This window comes from Homo sapiens, chromosome 19 (assembly GCF_000001405.40).
Source record: "Homo sapiens chromosome 19, GRCh38.p14 Primary Assembly".
In the NCBI taxonomy this organism is placed as follows: Eukaryota; Metazoa; Chordata; class Mammalia; order Primates; family Hominidae; genus Homo; species Homo sapiens.
In genome coordinates this window covers 57410897-57428297 of record NC_000019.10, presented here as the reverse complement: position 1 = coordinate 57428297, position 17401 = coordinate 57410897, and the positions used below count along the sequence as shown (strand labels likewise).

Here is a 17401-nt window from a genome sequence, read left to right as displayed (position 1 = left end):
GGATATAACATACCTGATTTTTAAATTCAGGACACATAGCTCCTGAGGCAGGATCTAGACACCAGCTATTCCTATGCAATGCTGGAGAATATGGGACATCCATATGTACAGATACCCACCTCATACAGCTGCAACATGCTCTGACAACTGTCAAACCAACAACCCTCAAGCTGACTGTAGAACTACCAATAATCAAATTCACGGCGCGATTTTGGATAGAAGTCCGTCACTTTCCCAGGAACTCCCGAAGCAATGCAAATTGGGCCTGATGTGGATTGAAAGCTATTTTGTCTTCTTATTTCTTCAAGAGCACAAAAAGTTGAAGGCCCCAAAAACCATTCACTTTTTCATTCTGGCAAAGCCTAATTTTGTTCTCAACCCGCAGCACACAGTGAAGAGAACCCCAAGAGTAAATGTAGCTTAAACAATATGACCTTTATCATCAGAAGAAAACAGCAATGCTTAGGTGGAAATTGACTGGGTTGGGAAGCTTGGAAGGTAGAAAATTTATCATCAACATTATCAGTATCAGACAACTAATAATACCTCTGAAAAAAGGAAATCTCTACAAGCTGCCAGCTGAAGTTGGCGTGTGTTCTCTGTCCAAAGCTGGGTGATGTCCACACCCAAACCAGTCAGGGGACTGGGAATGAGGCCCCCAAAGGGAACAAATGACTGAATATTCCAGATAAAGGTAGAGAACACAGCAATCTATGCACCACCCCCCCACCCCCCATTTTTTAAAAACATTTAACCAGAAGTCCAGACCTTATCACTCTCTAAGTAATTTAAGGTGACTAAGGTGATGCACATTGTGGCACCATGACAGCTAATAGCAGGAGTCTTCTGTAATGCACACTTTCAGCAACTTAACTCTGGAAAGGCCCCAGGCAGGGTCAGAAAGTGCAACATCATTCACAAAAATTTACCATATATCTGACAATTACAACAAATCTCCCTTGCGTGGATGTTTGGATGTGAGATTCAATTTCAGGCTGAGATCTCCCTCAACAAGCTAACACAGGGTCATCCAAGGGAAAGAATACAGTCATGGGTTCTTAGTTTGTTTCTAGCTGGGCCAGTAAAGCTCCTTTCTCATCTCATTCCTCTTGTCCACCTACCACTAGAGACAGAAACAAAACCATGGCTTCAGGCTAAAAGCCTAAAACAAAACAGAGCAACAAAAAAATAGGGTGAGTAAGACAAGCTCGATAGAGCTTTGCTGTTTTTGACCTGTTGACAAAGGAAAAAAAGTATATTGCCTGCATTCCTAAGGACTTTCTCCAGGATGAACTTACTCTTGCTCAGTGAAGTTAGGCTGAATACTTTCTAACATTTGCTGCACTCATAATATTCTGCTGGTTGTATAGTAATAACATACAAAGGTGTTTTTCTGATGTCAGGACATGTCACAATGATAATCATAAAATGTAGACCACTTTGCTACTTACAGCTTGAAACCTAAGGACATAGGCAGGGCTGCAAGAGTTATGAGGGAACCCAAGATAACAGCAAGCTGGAGCTTAGGGGGCAGCTTGTGTGTGCCATGTAAATTGGGGTTAGCTAGGTTTTCAGGGACCCCTGTGCATTGACCAATGGAATAATTTTACAAGCTCCTGGGCACAGAAGCTGTCCCTAGATATCTGATTCCTGATCCTGGGGTGATTGGGTCTTACATATTGTGGCCCAGAGTTTGAGAGCCTGATAAGGAAAATGGTTGGGAGTGTGGACTTAATCTGCTGCTCCAAAATTGTAACTGACAAGCCTCTACCAAGGGCCTTAATGCTAGGCAAAAACATTATTCTTTTGATGTTAAAAAAAAAAAACTGGATATCCACACGCAAAAGAATTAAGTTGCTAAAATGAACTCAAATGCATCAAAGACTTATAAAACAGATATATTAGACTCCATTTAAATTCAAAATTCCTGTGTAAAAAAGGACATAATGGACAGAGTGAAAAGGAAAAAGACTCAATGGGAGAAAGTATTTGAAAACCACATATCTGAGAAGGAATATCTAGAATATGAGGGGTCTTCAAAAGTTTCATGAAAAATGAGAAAAAAATGTATATTATGAAAAAATTGGCCAGGGGTGGTGGCTTAAGCCTGTAATCACAGCACTTTGTGAGGCCCAGGCAGGTGGATCACCTGAGGTCAGGAGTTCGAGAGCAGCCTGGCCAACAGAGTGAAAACCCATCTCTACTAAAAATACAAAAATTAGCTGGGCGTGATTGTGGGCACCTGTAATCCCAGCTACTCAAGAGGCTGAGGCAGGAGAATTGCTTGAACCCAGGAGGCGGAGGTTGCAATGAGCCGAGATCATGCCACTGCACTCCAACCTAGCGTTAGTGAGACTCTGTCAAAAAAAAAAAAAAAAATTATGTATGGATTTCAATTTTTTACACCAAAGTGAATTTGTAATAACTTGTTCTAACAAGTATGAACAGGATCTAGTTTGAGGCACTAAGAACGGCATCAGTTTGAAAACACCTTCTATCAGAGGAATGTGAATTCAGCTAAGGTTGAAGAAAGAACAAATATCAAATATATAGTAAAGCTTGGCTCTAAAAATGGTAAAACCGGCCGGGTGCGGTGGCTCGCGCCTGTAATCCCAGCACTTTGGGAGGCCGAGTTTGGGCGGATCACAAGGTCAGGAGTTCAAGACCATTCTGACCAATATGGTGAAACCCCATCACTACTAAAAATACAAAAATTAGCCGGGCGTGGTGGCGCATGCCTGTAATCCCAGCTACACAGGAGGCTGAAGCAGAAGAATCGCTTGAACCCAGGAAACGGAGGTTGCAGTGAGCTGAGATCGCGCCACTGCACTCCAGCCCAGACGACAGAGTGAGACTCCGTCTCAAAAAAAAGAAAAAGAAAAGTTTATGGGCACAATGACCCAGAGAAATCAGAGTTTACAAACTGATAACCTGTTTTCTTTTTTTTTAGACGGAGTCTCACTCTGTCGCCCATGCTGGAGTGCAGTGGCACGATCTCCACTCACTGCAACCTCCGCCTCCCGGGTTCACGCCATTCTCCTGCCTCAGCCTCCGGAGTAGCTGGGAGTACAGGCGCCCGCCACCACGCCCGGCTAATTTTTTGTATTTTTAGTAGAGACGGGGTTTCACTGTGTTAGCCAGGATAGTCTCGATCTCCTGACCTCATGATCCACCAGCCTCGGCCTCCCAAAGTGCTGGGATTACAGGCGTGAGCCACCGCGCCCGGCCTGATAACGTTTTAAGAAGAGATGAGATGATGTTGACCACGCAGCCCACAATGGCAAACCATTAATAACAATTTGCGAGGAAGAAATTCATCTTGCTCATGACCTTATTGAAGAAGACTGATGATTAACAGCAGAAACAGTAACTGACACCACAGACATCTGAATTGGTTCAGCTTACACAATTCTGACTGAAAAATTAAAGTTGTGCGAACTTTCCACTCAATGGGTGCCAAAGCCACTGAATCCAGATCAGCTGCAGACAAGAGCAGAACCTTCAATGTAAATGTTAAACAAGTAGGATCAAGATGCTGAAGCATTTCTTTGAAGAATTGTACAGATGAAACATGGCTTTATTATTAATTACTATTTGAGATGGAGTTTCACTCTTGTTGCCCAGGCTGGAGTGCAATGGTGTGATCTCGGCTCACTGCCACCTCCGCCTCCCGGGTTCAAGCGATTCTCCTGCCTCAGCCTCCTGAGTAGCTGGGATTACAGGCATGCACCACCTCGCCAGGCTAATTTTTGTATTTTTTAGTAGAGAGGGGGGTTTCTCCATGTTGGTCAGGCTGGTCTCAAACTCCTGAGCTCAGATGATCCGCCCAACTCGGCCTCCCAAATTGCTGGGATTACAGACGTGAGCCACGGCGCCCGCAATGAGAGTGTTTTGAGAAAGTTAGCTAAAGCTTTAGCAGAAAACCCATGGGAAAGCTTCACCAGGAGTCCTTCACTTCAATGCTCCTGCTCATTCCTCTCATCAAATAACTGCAACTTTACAAGAATTCTGATAACCCTAAGGCATCCACCTTACAGTCCGGATTTGGCTCCTTCTGACTTCTTGTTTCCTACTTTTAAAAAATCTTTAAAGGGCACCCATTTTTCTTTAGTTAATATTAAAAAAGATTGCATAGACAAGGTTAAATTCCCAGGAACCTCACTTCTTTAGGGATGGACTAAATGCCTGGTATCATCACTTATAAAATTGTCTTGAACTTGATGGAGCTTATGTTGAGAAATAAAACTTGTTTTCTTTTTGTATCCTTTACTTTCATGTTTCCACAAACTTTCTGAAGTCCCCACATATACTAAAAAACTCCTACATCTCAAAACCAAATAACCCTAAAGAAAAAAAAAAAACTCAACCCAGTAAAACTACTAAAAAAAAAAATTAATAATAAAGTTAAATTAAAAAATGATGCAGCTGCTATAGAAGAGTCCTCAAAAATTTTAAAACAGAATTAACATAGAATGGGAACATTGTGAGTCAGAAATTTAAAAAATTAAAAATATTTTTTAAATGAACATAGGGGGACAGGTGAGTGGATCATGAGGTCGAGATTGAGACCATCCTTGCCAACACGGTGAAACCCCGTCTCAACTAAACATACAAAAATTATCTGGGCATGGTGGTGCATGCCTGTAGTCCCAGCTACTTGGGAGGCTGAGGCAGGAGAACTGCTTGAACCCCGGAGGCAGAGGCTGCAGTGAGCTGAGATCAGGCCACTGTACTCCAGCCTGGCGACAGAGCGAGACTCCCGTCTCAAAAAACAAACAAACAAACAAACAAACAAAAAAAAAACATAGAAAGCACCAATTCTACTTCTGAGTAAATCCTCAAAAGGAATTTAAAGCACAGCCTCAAAGAAACATTTGTACATTCATGCTCATCTGCTATTAACAACAGCTGAGTGGAAACAACCCAAATGTCCACTAATGAAAGGAAAAGTGGCACATACATATATAATCATGCACCTCACTTTTCAGTCAACAATGGGCCACATTCATGACAGTGGTTCCATAAAATTACAATGAAGCTGAAAAATGCTTATTGCCTAATGACATGATAGCAGTAGTAAGGCAATATATTAATCACATATTCATGGTGATGCTGGTATAAACAAACCTACTGTGAGGCCAGTCATATAGAAGTATAACATATACAATAATGTACAGTAGATAAAACTTACGAGTTACTAGCTTATGTTCTTAGCATACTACACTTTTTATCATTAGGTGTTCTCCAACAGTAGAGTATATATGGAGTTGTGTGTATGTCTATAAATATACAGGTGTACATACACACAAACTGTAACACAGCCTCGGGCAGGTCCTTCAGGAGGTATTCCAGAAAAAGGCATTGTTATTTTAGATGACAGCTCCATGTGTGTTACTGTCCCAGAAGATCTTCTGGAACAGGTTGTGAAGGTGGAATAAAATGACATTATCCTGATCCTGTGCCGGCCTAGACAAATGTGTGTATCTTAGTTTTTAACAAAAAAAATTTAAGAAGTTAGGATATAAAAAATATTTTTGTACAGTTGTACAATGTTTTAAGCAAAACATTATTACAAAAGTCAAAAAGTTTTTAAAAATACAAGCTTATAAAGTAAAAAATGGTCAGCTAAGGTTAATATATTAAAGAAAAATTTCTATAAATTTAATTTTGTCCAGCCGGGCACGGTGGCTCATGCCTGTAATCCCAGCACTTTGGGAGGCCAAAGCGAGTGGCTCACTTGAGGTCGGGAGTTTGAGACCAGCCTGGCCAACATGGTAAGACCCCGTTCTCTACTAAAAATACAAAAATTAGCGGGGCATGGTGGTGCATGCCTGTAATCCCAGACACTTGGGAAGCTGAGGCAGAACTGCTTGAACCAGGAGGTGGAGGAGGTTGCAGGAAGCCAAGATTGCACCACTGCACTCTAGTCTGGGCAACAGAGCAAGATTCTGTCTCAAAAATAATAATAAAAATAAAAATGTATTGTCGTCTAAGTACACAATGTCTATAAAGTCTACAGCACAGTAACAACCTAGGCCTTCACATTCACTTACCACTCACTGACTCACCTAGAGCAACTTGCAGTACTGTAAGCTTCATTCATGGTAAGTTCTCTGTGAGTCTATCATTTTTTCTTTTATACTGTATTTTTACTGTACCTTTTCTGTTTAGATATACTTAAAAACAATTACTTACCATGTGTTCCAACAGCCTACAGTATTCAGTACAGTAATATGCTATACAAGTTTGTAGCAAGGTGCTATAGGATATACCATACAGCCTAGGCATTCACGCAACCCCCCCACCACCAAAAAAAGAAAGAAAATCACCTAATAACACTTTTCTCAGGACACTTCCCCACTGTTAAGCAACACATGACTAACAGAATTTTATTCAGCCTTTAAAAAGGATGGAAATTCTAATGGATTAGAACATGAAACCTTAAAAATATAACGTTAAGCAAAATAAGCCACAAAATAAACCACAAGAAGACCAAAACTTAAGTTTTCTTATATGAGGTACCCGGACTAGTAAAATTCATACAGAGCGGTGCTTGTCAAGAGGCTGGATGGAGTGAGGAATAAGGTTTTAAAAGGTATAGACTTAGTTTCATAAGTTGAAAAGACTTCTAGATATTCATTGCACAATGTGAATGACTTAACAGTACTGAACTATACACTTTAACATGGTTAAGATGTTAGATTTTATGTTATCTGTATTCTACAAGAATACTTTTTTTAAAACGTAGGTCCCAGTGCTAAATCAGAGTAGATTTCTGTGTGAAGTCTTTCCCCATCTGCTTTATATATACATTCTTTATCTGGTGTGAACTTTCTGGTGCTGAATGAGATGAGAATTTTGGTTAAAGACTCTTCCACATTCACTGCACTGATAAGGTCTCTCTCCAGTGTGAATTCTCCGATGTTTAATGAGGCTGGAGTTGTATCTAAAGACTTTCCCACATTCACTGCACTCATAAGGCTTTTCTCCAGTATGAACTCTCTCATGACTAATGAGTGTGGAGCTGTCCATAAAAAATTTCCCACATTTGCTGCATTTGTAAGTTCTTTCCCTAGTGTGAACTTTTTGGTGCCGAATGAGGTGGGAATTTTGGCTAAAAACTCTCCCACACTCAGTGCACTCAAAAGACCTTTCTCCAAAGTGATTTCTCCGATGTCTAATATGATTTGAGTTGTGCCTAAAGAATTTCCCACATTCACTACACTCATAAGGCCTTTCACCAGTGTGAATTCTCTGATGTGTATCAAGTGTGGAGCGACATCTAAAGGATTTCCCACAAATGCTGCATTCAAAAGGTCTTTCTCCAGTGTGAACTCTCTGATGACTCTTCAGTGTACAGCTGTCCACAAAGAATTTGCCACATTCACTGCATTCATAAGGCCTCTCTCCAGAGTGAACTCTCTGATGTCTATTCAGTGTGAAGCAATACCTAAAGAATTTCCCACATTTGTTGCATTCATAAGGCTTTTCTCCAGTATGAACTCTCTGATGAATAATGAGTGTGGAAGTGTCCATAAAGAACTTCCCACATTCACTACACTCATAAGGCTTTTCTCCAGTGTGAACTTTCTGATGTCTAATGAGTGTGGAACGGTATCTAAAGAATTTCCCACATTCGTTGCATTCATAAGGTTTTTCTCCAGTATGAACTCTCTGGTGAATAATGAGTGTGCAGCTGTCCATAAAGAATTTCCCACATTCACAGCAATAAAAAGGCCTTTCTCCAGTGTGAACTTTCTGATGTCTAATGAGTGCTGAACTGTACATAAAGTATTTCCCACATTCATTGCATCCATAAGGCCGTTCTCCAGTATGAATTTTCTGGTGACCAACAAGGTGAGCCTGTGTAAGGAAGGCCTTCCCACATTCACTACACACATAAGGCCTTGGCCTGGTGTGAATCCTCTGGTGCTGAAGTAGGTGAGACTTTCTAAGAAAAGCTTTCCCACATTCACTGCACTCATAAGGCCTTTCTCCAGTGTGAATTTTCTGGTGTTGAACAACATTGTATTTGAGGCTGAAGGCTTTTCCACATTCACTACACTTATAAGGCCTTTCTCCAGTATGATTTCGCTGATGTTTAATAAGGTCGGAGTTGTACCTAAACAATTTGCCACATTCACTGCACTCATAAGGCCTTTCCTCTGTGTGGATTTTCTGGTGCTCAAACAGTGTATGTTGGTGGCAAAAGTCTTTCCCACATTGGGTGCAGCTGTAATTATTCTGTCCACTTTGAAAGGCCTCCACACCATGAGTGTCCCTGTGTGGCTTCCACCCACTGTGAAGAGCCTGTTGTTGAAGATCTGAATCACCAGTAAAATCCTTGCCACCCTGCATGCATGTGAGGTTCCTCTTTGCCAGGTGAACACTGTCATTCACAAACGAAGGCCTCCCTTCATCACTTCTGGTGAGCTTCTCTCTAAGATGCTCCTTTTGGTGCAGGTAAAGCTTGGCTGTACGCTTGGGGTGTGTTCCGTCATGCTCAGCCAGGTGTAGAATGTCCTTCAGAAGTGAGCTACATGTCTCACAGGGCTGGGCCTTCTGGGTGGACAAAGCTGGCTTTAAAGTTGTGACCTGTGACACTCCTACAGAAACACATTGCTTGGAAGGTGCCTCCTCATCCTTGGCTCCATGCCAACAACCTAAAACAGAAATGCTCATGAAGTGCATGATGACTTTGGAGGGAAGAGGCAGCCCCATAACAAATGTCTGTCAGACCAACTCACAAATAAGACCATGGGATTGGTGACAGGCATGGGACATTAAAGCCAGTGAGAGGAAAGCCTACTGGGCAGAACCGGGACTGACAGAAACCCATAACGAAAGAGTCCTGATGATGGGGAACAACATAGGGAGTGGTACAGTGCAGAGCACAGAAGTGGAGTCCCCAAGTTACTCCTCAGTGAATGGCTTTCAACAGGCCATAGCTTCTGGTGAACAATGTGTAGAAGACTGTGTCCAGACCCAGAGAGATCTGATGTGACAGTAGAGCTGGTGTTCAGGGACTGCTGAAATATATACATCCAGACCTCACAACACCTTAAGTACAGGTCATATGTTGAGGGCACTACAAAGGGAACAGTAAAAGGAACAGGTGGCTGGGTGCAGTGGCTCACACCTATAATCCCAGAACTTTGGGAGGCCAAGGCAGGCGGATCAGCTGAGGTCAGGAGTTCGAGACCAGCCTGACCAACATGGAGAAACACCGTCTCTACTAAAAATACAAAATTAGCCAGGTGTGGTGGCGCATGCCTGTAATCCCAGCTATTTGGGATGCTGAGGCAGAAGAATCGCTTGAACCCGGGAAGCAGAGGTTGCAGTGAGTCAAGATCGCGCGCACCATTGCAAGAGCGAAACTCCATCTCAAAAACAAAAACAAAAACAAAAAAAAAACAAAAAACGGGAACAGGTGAGAGGTGGAGGCCAGAGACGTAGGGTCAGAGGTGGGAGCCAGGAGATGAAAGTCAAAAGAGAGATCACAATAGGGAAGAAAAGAGAGACATGCGGTGTGGCCACTGGCAGGGGCATCAAACTGGATTGATTCCCAGTGTGATGTGAACCCAGCCCTGTCATCACACCCCTTCTGAGCTCCCATCCACCAGGGCCAAGTCCTTTTGAGCATCTCTTGCCTTCAATGGAGTAATGTCCACTCTGTCAGGCACCCAGGGACCTCTACCTTGCTCAAGGTGAGCAACTATCTAGGTGTGGCGTTAGCCAAGCTAGGGGAAAGACAGGGAAAGGGAGGGTGTCAACAGCATGTACACAGAGCAATAAACCCAGGACATGCTGTATTCTAAAGTTACCAGAACTTCTAGTGGAGAGTCCTGCAGAAATAAGCCCACAGTCCTCACAAGCAGTGACGAGGTAGGTCCCTGAAATTCCTGACACAGGGTATCCCTATGTCAGCAAGAAGAATGGAGAAAGCCTTGCACAGAGAAAGTGTCATGCATTTGGACAGAGTAAACTAACCAGGGACAGGCAAGGTCATTAGGATATTCTTGAGAAACCTGAGGACTTCTGACTTTTGAGCCTTATAAGGCTTCAGAGTGACAAGAGCTAAGCTTCTTAAGGAAAATTGATACAGATCACACAGCCCAGCTGTAGCTGCCACAACACATATGCCAGGAAACCAGGAGAGGATGCAGCATCCATGACCTGGTGTGAGACGGAGATGCCAAGGAAAAAAGTGAAAAAACATTGCCCAGCACAAGACACTGACGTAGGTGTCAGGGCCTTACCTACTGAGGACAAAAGTGCAAAGTTCTCCAGCATCACATCGCTGTGCAGGTGTCTCTGAACGTCATTAAGAATTCCCCACTCCTCCTGGGAGAAATGTATGGCCACGTCCTCAAAAACCATATAATCCTGCCAAAATTATAACAGTTTAGTCTGTGAGCAACTTTTTTTTTCTTTCTTTTTTTTTTTTTTTTTGAGATGGAGTCTCGCTCTGTTGCCAGGCTGGAGTGCAGTGGTGTGATCTCGGCTCACTGCAAGCTCCGCCTCCCGGATTCAAGTGATTCTCCTGCCTCAGCCTCCTGAGTAGCTGGGATTACAGGCGCGTGCCACCATGACTGGCTAATTTTTGTATTTTTAGTAGAGATGGGGTTTCACCATGTTGTTCAGGCTGGTCTAGAACTCCTGACCTCGTGAACTGCCTGCCTTGGCCTCCCAAATTGCTGGGATTACAGGCATGAGCCACCACGCCCGGCCCATGAGCAACTTCTTATTCTGTTTCCTTAGATCTGTATTTATCTACTTGAAATCTAAGAATTAGAGGACCAAAATAACAACCAGCATTTTAACATTTCTCTTATAATCCAGATCCCATAGACTGAACTGCCTCCTATCTAACAATCACACATGATTCTTTCTCCTGCCCTAAATCAACACAAGGCTTGTACCACAAAAGGAGGGATAGTCCCTATACCCCAAGGCTGCCAAAATCATGCAAACTACCCAGTCTTAAGCTCTTCACTCTCCCCTGCATGCCTTTCCAGCCAAAACCCCAATAAAGCCACTGATATATGCTCTCCCTTCAACTGTGCATCTGCCACCTGACCAAATCCGCTATTTCCTCTGTGGCTTTATGTGATGTGGCATGCTCCCTGCACTCAGGAAATGAAAGGAATAAAAATCATTTCATCCAGGTATGATTTCTCACCAATTGAAAAAAAAAATTATTTCAATGTCATTGGCTTTTCTGTAATCACTCACTCTTGTTCACAGATTGAAATCCTGTGGGTACAATCACTGATACACTTCCCTCTCCAGGACCTTCAGTGCTCCTCACCACACCCACACACATCCACACCCTGCTAGCCTCCACCCACTTCTGAAGGAGGAAGAGACACTAGGTCTTCATGGCACCTGTACCTGCTCTCCCCTCATTGCCACTGATCACTGACTCCAGTATAGAACAAAGATGGGTGGGGGAAAGAGACTGAAAAGCGCCATCAAAACCTGGCACATGGCCGGGCATGGTGGCTCATGCCTCTAATCCCAGCACTTTGGGAGGCTGAGGCAGGTAGATCACAAGGTTAGGAGTTCAAGACCTGCCTGGCCAAGATAGTAAAACCCCATCTCTACTAAAAATACAAAAATTAGCCGGGCATGGTGGCAGGCACCTGTAATCCCAGCTACTCGGGAGGCTGAGGCAGAGTACTGCTTGAACCTGGGAGGCAGAGGTTGCAGTGAGCCGAGATCGCGCCACTGCACTCCATCCTGGGCAACAGAGCTAGACTCCATCTCAAAAAACAAAACAAAACAAAAAAAACACCTGGCACATGGGGGCCTACCTTTCTTTTGTCACTCAATTTCCCTAGAGTCACCCAGATCTTGCCTCTCAGATAACCAAACTTGGACTCACCCTCCTCCCTTAAGTGCCCAGTGCCAGAGGTGGAACCATCTATTCATGCTCCTCCACTCAGGCTTTGGATGGCACCTCCCTCATGTATCCAACACCTCCACTCTTGGCAACACTAACAACCACCACAGCCCAACTGGGAGTATTTCCATGGCGTGTTACCATGCCACTCTGCACATGAAATCCTGCAGTGCATGACAAATGCAACCAGAATCGTATTTGCCCCTAGAATGACCAGAATGCAATGTTTAGGAAACATTGCTTTGAACGTCTCCCAACCCAATCCTGTTTCTTTCTTTGACCTCAGCTTTCCAAACCCACATATTCTTGCACACCTCCTTTGAGTTCCAGATCTTGGCTGTCTCCCCCTTCTACATGTATATGTTGTCCCATAAGCAGTCACGACTTTCTCTATCCCCCAACTCTAATCCAAAGCCCAGATACACTGACCTCCCCAACACCATCCCCACCCCAGGACTAGCAATGCTTCTAGATGATCCCATCTTCTGCCAAAATAGTCTCAGAGTTCGCGTGAAACTACCCAGGTACAACCAATATTTGCCACAAAACCCTGTTGAGTCCATAATAGGGTACTAAGCCCCTCCCAGACCTCACTATCATCTCACCTCTTTTGTGGAGATGCCTCACCATCCAACTTTTATGTGCACTCTCCCCCTCAAAAGCCTTTATTTTCCAAAGGCCATCTCCAACATAAACACACAAATACACACACACATATCCTCAGTCCATCCACTCCCTCATCTGTCTTTGTGATGCCCAGCAACCCCATCCAGGTGCCCAACAGAAAGATCCAGTCCTCAGCCCCTTCCTTCCCCTTCCTTCTCCCTAACAGCATTGCCTCCAGAATCTAAAGATGTCTATTCCTAAATCTGACCCACAGATTTACCATGGTGTACACGCTGGCTATCATATAGTAGATGTCTCCATCCTGAACACCTCCATTGAACTCCATTCCTGTGTGTTCAACTGCCAGTCTGGCACCTCTACTCGAGTCTCTGGAACATTTTTGACTTAGCCCAAACCTCGTTCTTCATATGCTCTATTAAACTCCCCCTACTACAAAATTTACCACATCTTAGTTGCTGGAACATCCAACCTTCTCAACAAGGCCAAAACAATGGGGCCATTCCTGACTCCCTCTTGCATCCTACCTCCCGAGCTTCCTCGCTCTGTACATCAAAAAATGTGAGCAGCTCTAGATCAAAACCTACAGAAGCCACCCACCCCTCCCACCTCCACAGCCGCCACTCGTGTCCAGCCACCACCAACCTCCACTGGACTGTGGCAGGAATTATCACCCAGGTATCCTTGGTTCTTCCCTAACTCTCACTCTGTCCTCCATTCTGCAGGCAGAGGAAGCCTCTTAGAATCTAGGTCAAATCTGGCTGGGTGCAGTGGCTCAGGCCTGTAATTCCAGCACTTTGGGAGGCTGAGGCGGGCAGATCATGAGGTCAGGAGATCGAGACCATCCTAACACGGTGAAACCCTGGCTCTACTAAAAAATACAAAAAAAAGTTAGCCGGGCATGATGGCAGGTGCCTGTAATCCCAGCTACTTGGGAGGCTGAGGCAGGAGAATGGCGTGAACCCAGGAAGCGAAGCTTGCAGTGAGCCGAGTTCACGCCACTGCACTCTGGCCTGGGCGACAGAGGGAGACTCCGTCTCAAAAAAAAAAAAAAAGAATCTAGGTCAAATCACCTCTTTTTTCTTTCTCAAACCTTCCCTAGCTACTACCCCCCTCAGATTAAAGACCTAGAACCACTGGGCACGGTGGCTCATACCTGTAATCCCAGCACTTTGGGAGGCTGAGGCAGGCAGATCACTTGAGGCCAGGAGTTCGAGACCAGCCTGGCCAACATGGTGAAATCCTGTCTCTACTAAAAATACAAAAATTAGCTGGGTGTGTTGGTTCATGCCTGTAATCCCAGCTACTTGGAAGGCTGAGGCAGGAGAATTGCTTGAACCTGGGAGACAGAGGTCGCAATGATCCGAGATCACATCAATGCACTCCCGCCTGGGCGACAGAGTTAGCCTCTGTCTGGAAAAAAAAAAAAAAACAAGGCCAGGTGTGGTGGCTCAAGCCTGTAATCCCAGCACCTTGGGAGGGCCGAGGCAGGCAGATCACGAGGTCAAGAGATTGAGAACATCCTGGCCAACATGGTGAAACCCCATCTCTACTAAAAAATACAAAAATTAGCCGGGCATGGTGGCGGGTGCCTATAATCCCAGCTACTCGGGAGGCCGGGGCAGGAGAATCGCTTGAACCAGGAAGGCGGAGGTTGTAGTGAGCTGAGATCGCGCCACTGCACTCCAGCCTGGAGACAGAGCAAGATTCTGTCTCAAAAACAAAACAAAACAAAAACAAAAACCTAGACAACCTCAGGCTGCCATTCCATGCCTGATCCCTGCATGCCCCGACCTCCTGCCCTGCTGCTGTGCTCCTTATCCTTGCCAGCTAGAACATTAAGCTACAGTTCTCTAAGCATCCCATCTAAGTCTCACCACCAAGCATTTGAACATTCTAGATCCTGTGTTTGAGATGCCTTGCCAAATCTCAAACCATCAGTTGTGAGAACTAGAACCACTCTATATAACCAGGCACTGAGTTTGGAACCCAGGTCTGGTGGAACTACAGGCTCTCCTTGGACCCAAGGGAGAGAGAAGAAAAGGTGAACAGTCTCAGGATAACACCATTCCCTATATCAGCATGCTGAAACCATCTGGGATGGGTGAAAGCTGGAAACACTCTCCACTCACCTGTCCAGCATCCATAAGCATTGCTGCCACTGCTATGAACCCTGTGGGAAGAGGCAGGCCATGAGGATTAAGACAGCATTGCAGCATCCTACAGGCTGACTGTACAACCACCTCTGGCCCTGCAACTAGAGCAAAGTTATCTGAGGGTACACAGTAAGTCCTCAGGGTTCAGTGTCTTGATGAGGACTGAACTTCCTTAAGTCTCGGTGCCCTTATGTGTAAAATAGAGATTAAAAGGATTGCCAACTAATAGGGCTTATATGGGCATCAAATATAAGTAGTACACACTATGTATCAGCAATTTCTTTCTACTGGATTAAATATTTTTTACATGTTTTCGGTACAAATGACATGGAAGGGTTTTGAAATTTTGGGTGTGTATTTTTCCCACTTCTTACGGTGTTAAGGAAATGTGATACATAAAACTTTCCATTGCAAGCAAATAGAAAAATTAACATTCAGCCGGGCATGGTGGCTCAAGCCTCTAATCCCAGCACTTTGGGAGGCCGAGGTGGGCGGATCACGAGGTGCAGAGATCAAGACCATCCTGGCCAACCATGGTGAAACCCTGTCTCTATCAAAAATACAAAAATTAGATGGGCATGGTGGCGCATGTCTGTAATCCCAGCTACTCGGGAGGCTGAGGTAGGAGAATCGCTTGAACCCGGGAGGCAGAGGTTGCAGTGAGCCGAGACCACGCCACTGCACTCCAGCCTGGCGACAGAGCGAGACTCCGTCTCAAAAAAAAAAAGAAAAAAGAAAAATCAACATTCAACAATTATTAAGTGAATAAATTTAACTATTGGTTACATTCATTTCTAACTGCCGACCTATGTGTACATATTTAGAAGGATACTGGTTCATTAGTGGTTAAATAAATGTTTTATACATTCGGCCGGGCGCGGTGGCTCATGCCTGTAATCCCAGCACTTTGGGAGGCTGAGGCGTGCAGATCATGAGGTCAGGAGATAGAGACCATACTAGCTAACACGGTGAAACCCCGTCTCTACTAAAAATGCAAAAAATTAGCCTGGCGTGGTGGCGGGCACTTGTAGTCCCAGCTACTCGGGAGGCTGAGGCAGGAGAATTGCTTGAACTCGGGAGGCGGAGCTTGCAGTGAGCCGAGATCGCGCCACTGCACTCCAACCTGGGCGATGGAGCGAGACTCTGTCTCAAAAAAAAAAAAAATGTTTTACACATTCATAAATAAATAAGTTGCAGGGAGGGGATAAGCAAGCAGGTCAGTTACTGGTCCCATCAGCAACCAGGCCTGCCTGCTACAAATTCAGTTGCTGGAAGCTTGCTGGAGGCCCTTGACTAGATGTGAGAAAGCCCTACCCCCGTCTGGACCCAATGTCCCCACTAGTCTGGATGACCTTCCTATTGTTCCACAGAGTGGGCCTGGGGGGCTGCTGGGTCTGCAGGTGCAGAAATCTAAACCACCTCACACCTCAGTCTCCAGCCTAGGCCAGTTCCTTAACCCATTCAGAACTCCGTTTTTGCAGATATGAGCCAGAATCCCTCCTATGACAGGTCTGCGCCTTTCTAAAGGTAGCGTCAGGCTTATGGACCCACCCATGATCTGCCCTCCAAAACTCAGCCCTCCAAAATGCAACTCATAATCCTCTCTGAAACCTGCTCCCTAAGCTGACTTCTCCAACTCCATTCTTTCAGATTTTCAGGCCAAAACAAAATCCATGGAATAGACCCTTCACTACCCTCACTGCTACATTTGATGCAGCAGGAAATCCTGTCGACTCTATCTCTGAGATCCATCCAGAATCTCATCACACTTCCCCTCTACTGCAACCCCTCTGGCCCATCCCTACCATAACTCAAGGGGTCTCCTCAGCGGTCCCCTTGTCCTGGTTTAACATCCTGTTTTTCCCAACTTTAAACGTCTACCTCTGGGCATAACCCTTCCTGCACAGCCTTCTACGGCTTTCAGCAGCTCCGCTGCCCTCCCAGGCGAGACTCCGCCTCACCCTCAGCTCCGTGGAGACAAAGACGCTCGGGCTCCCCAGTGCCGCCCGCTCTGCAGCACCTCTAAGCCTCGCACGTGCAGGTCCCTGACAGGAGCTCCCCCGCCTCACAGCACCGCGGACACCGGTACCCCACACAAGAACGCTCCTCTCTTTGGGACACAGGGGCCTGACCTGCAGGGCCCCTCCTCGGGGCTTCGGCACTCGGAGGAGGGATCGGGCGGGGCGCCCTGGGACGCGGCACCCACCTCAGTCAGGTTCATCGGCGCAGCCTCCGCCAGCACAGCCAGGGAAGAGCGGGGCGGGAGCGGCAGTGACCTGGACGCTGACAGAGGCACCAACGCCTGCAACCGATTCAACCGAGCCTCACTCTAGCCTCTGTACAACGGGGAAACCTTTTCTCGCGTTTTTCCGCTTTTTCACCTCAGTCTCGACTCAGCCTGAAGGTGAACAGATCCCAACGCAGCCATATTGACAACCCCAGGAGGCGTTGCAGGAAGTCCCGCCCACACGCATTGCGAACCCCCGTAGACGCCGCTCTGCTAGGCCTTCATTGGCTACACTCGCTGCTTGTGTCCGCCGCTGTGTCTTTTGGGTAATGTAGTTCCCAGGCCACTGCCTGCCCCGCTTCTGAACTTAAGTTAACTCGCGTTCAGGATGAAAGCCAGGAGGATCCTCCTGAGGCTTTGAGAAATGCAGTTGCGGGGCTCCAAGGACGTGGAGGGGCTTCATTGGCTTTTAAACGGCAAGCATCCAGA

At 45.5% G+C, this 17401-nt stretch overlaps 1 protein-coding gene across 3 annotated transcripts, besides 3 other annotated features; it reads right to left on the bottom strand.

Annotated features, from left to right (window-relative positions):
• Positions 1-6363: 6363 nt before the first annotated feature.
• ZNF17 (zinc finger protein 17) lies at positions 6364-17137 on the bottom strand. 3 transcript variants are annotated; one of them, NM_001330617.2, is made up of 4 exons: positions 16892-17137; positions 14662-14702; positions 10260-10386; positions 6364-8663 (listed from the first exon to the last, which is right to left on the bottom strand). In NM_001330617.2, the coding sequence occupies exons 2-4, from the start codon at positions 14680-14682 to the stop codon at positions 6817-6819; spliced, it is 1995 nt and encodes a 664-aa protein (NP_001317546.1). In that variant the 5' UTR covers positions 14683-14702; positions 16892-17137; the 3' UTR covers positions 6364-6816. The 3 variants fall into 3 exon arrangements, with proteins under 3 accessions (NP_001317546.1, XP_047295267.1, NP_008890.2); XM_047439311.1 differs by lacking the exon at positions 16892-17137 and adding an exon at positions 16818-16864; NM_006959.3 differs by lacking the exon at positions 14662-14702.
• Positions 16438-16640: a silencer, noted in NCBI's record as "fragment chr19:57923026-57923228 (GRCh37/hg19 assembly coordinates)". NCBI's record gives its function as "represses an EF-1alpha promoter that drives an FKBP-Casp9 reporter gene in an ReSE screen in HepG2 liver carcinoma cells {active_cell/tissue: HepG2}" and the evidence as "EXISTENCE:reporter gene assay evidence [ECO:0000049][PMID:32094911]".
• Positions 16884-16943: an enhancer, noted in NCBI's record as "active region_15141". NCBI's record gives its function as "activates an Ori minimal core promoter by ATAC-STARR-seq in GM12878 lymphoblastoid cells {active_cell/tissue: GM12878}" and the evidence as "EXISTENCE:reporter gene assay evidence [ECO:0000049][PMID:35858748]".
• Positions 17024-17133: an enhancer, noted in NCBI's record as "active region_15140". NCBI's record gives its function as "activates an Ori minimal core promoter by ATAC-STARR-seq in GM12878 lymphoblastoid cells {active_cell/tissue: GM12878}" and the evidence as "EXISTENCE:reporter gene assay evidence [ECO:0000049][PMID:35858748]".

Excerpts from the sequence above, each read along its gene's own strand:
- ZNF17 (NM_001330617.2), bottom strand. The coding sequence starts at position 14,682 with ATGCTTATGGATGCTGGACAG. Across the intron at positions 10,387-14,661 it reads TGCTTATGGATGCTGGACAG|GATTATATGGTTTTTGAGGA; the intron begins GTGAGTGGAGAG and ends TAATTTTGGCAG. Across the intron at positions 8,664-10,259 it reads TGCACTTTTGTCCTCAGTAG|GTTGTTGGCATGGAGCCAAG; the intron begins GTAAGGCCCTGA and ends TTTCTGTTTTAG.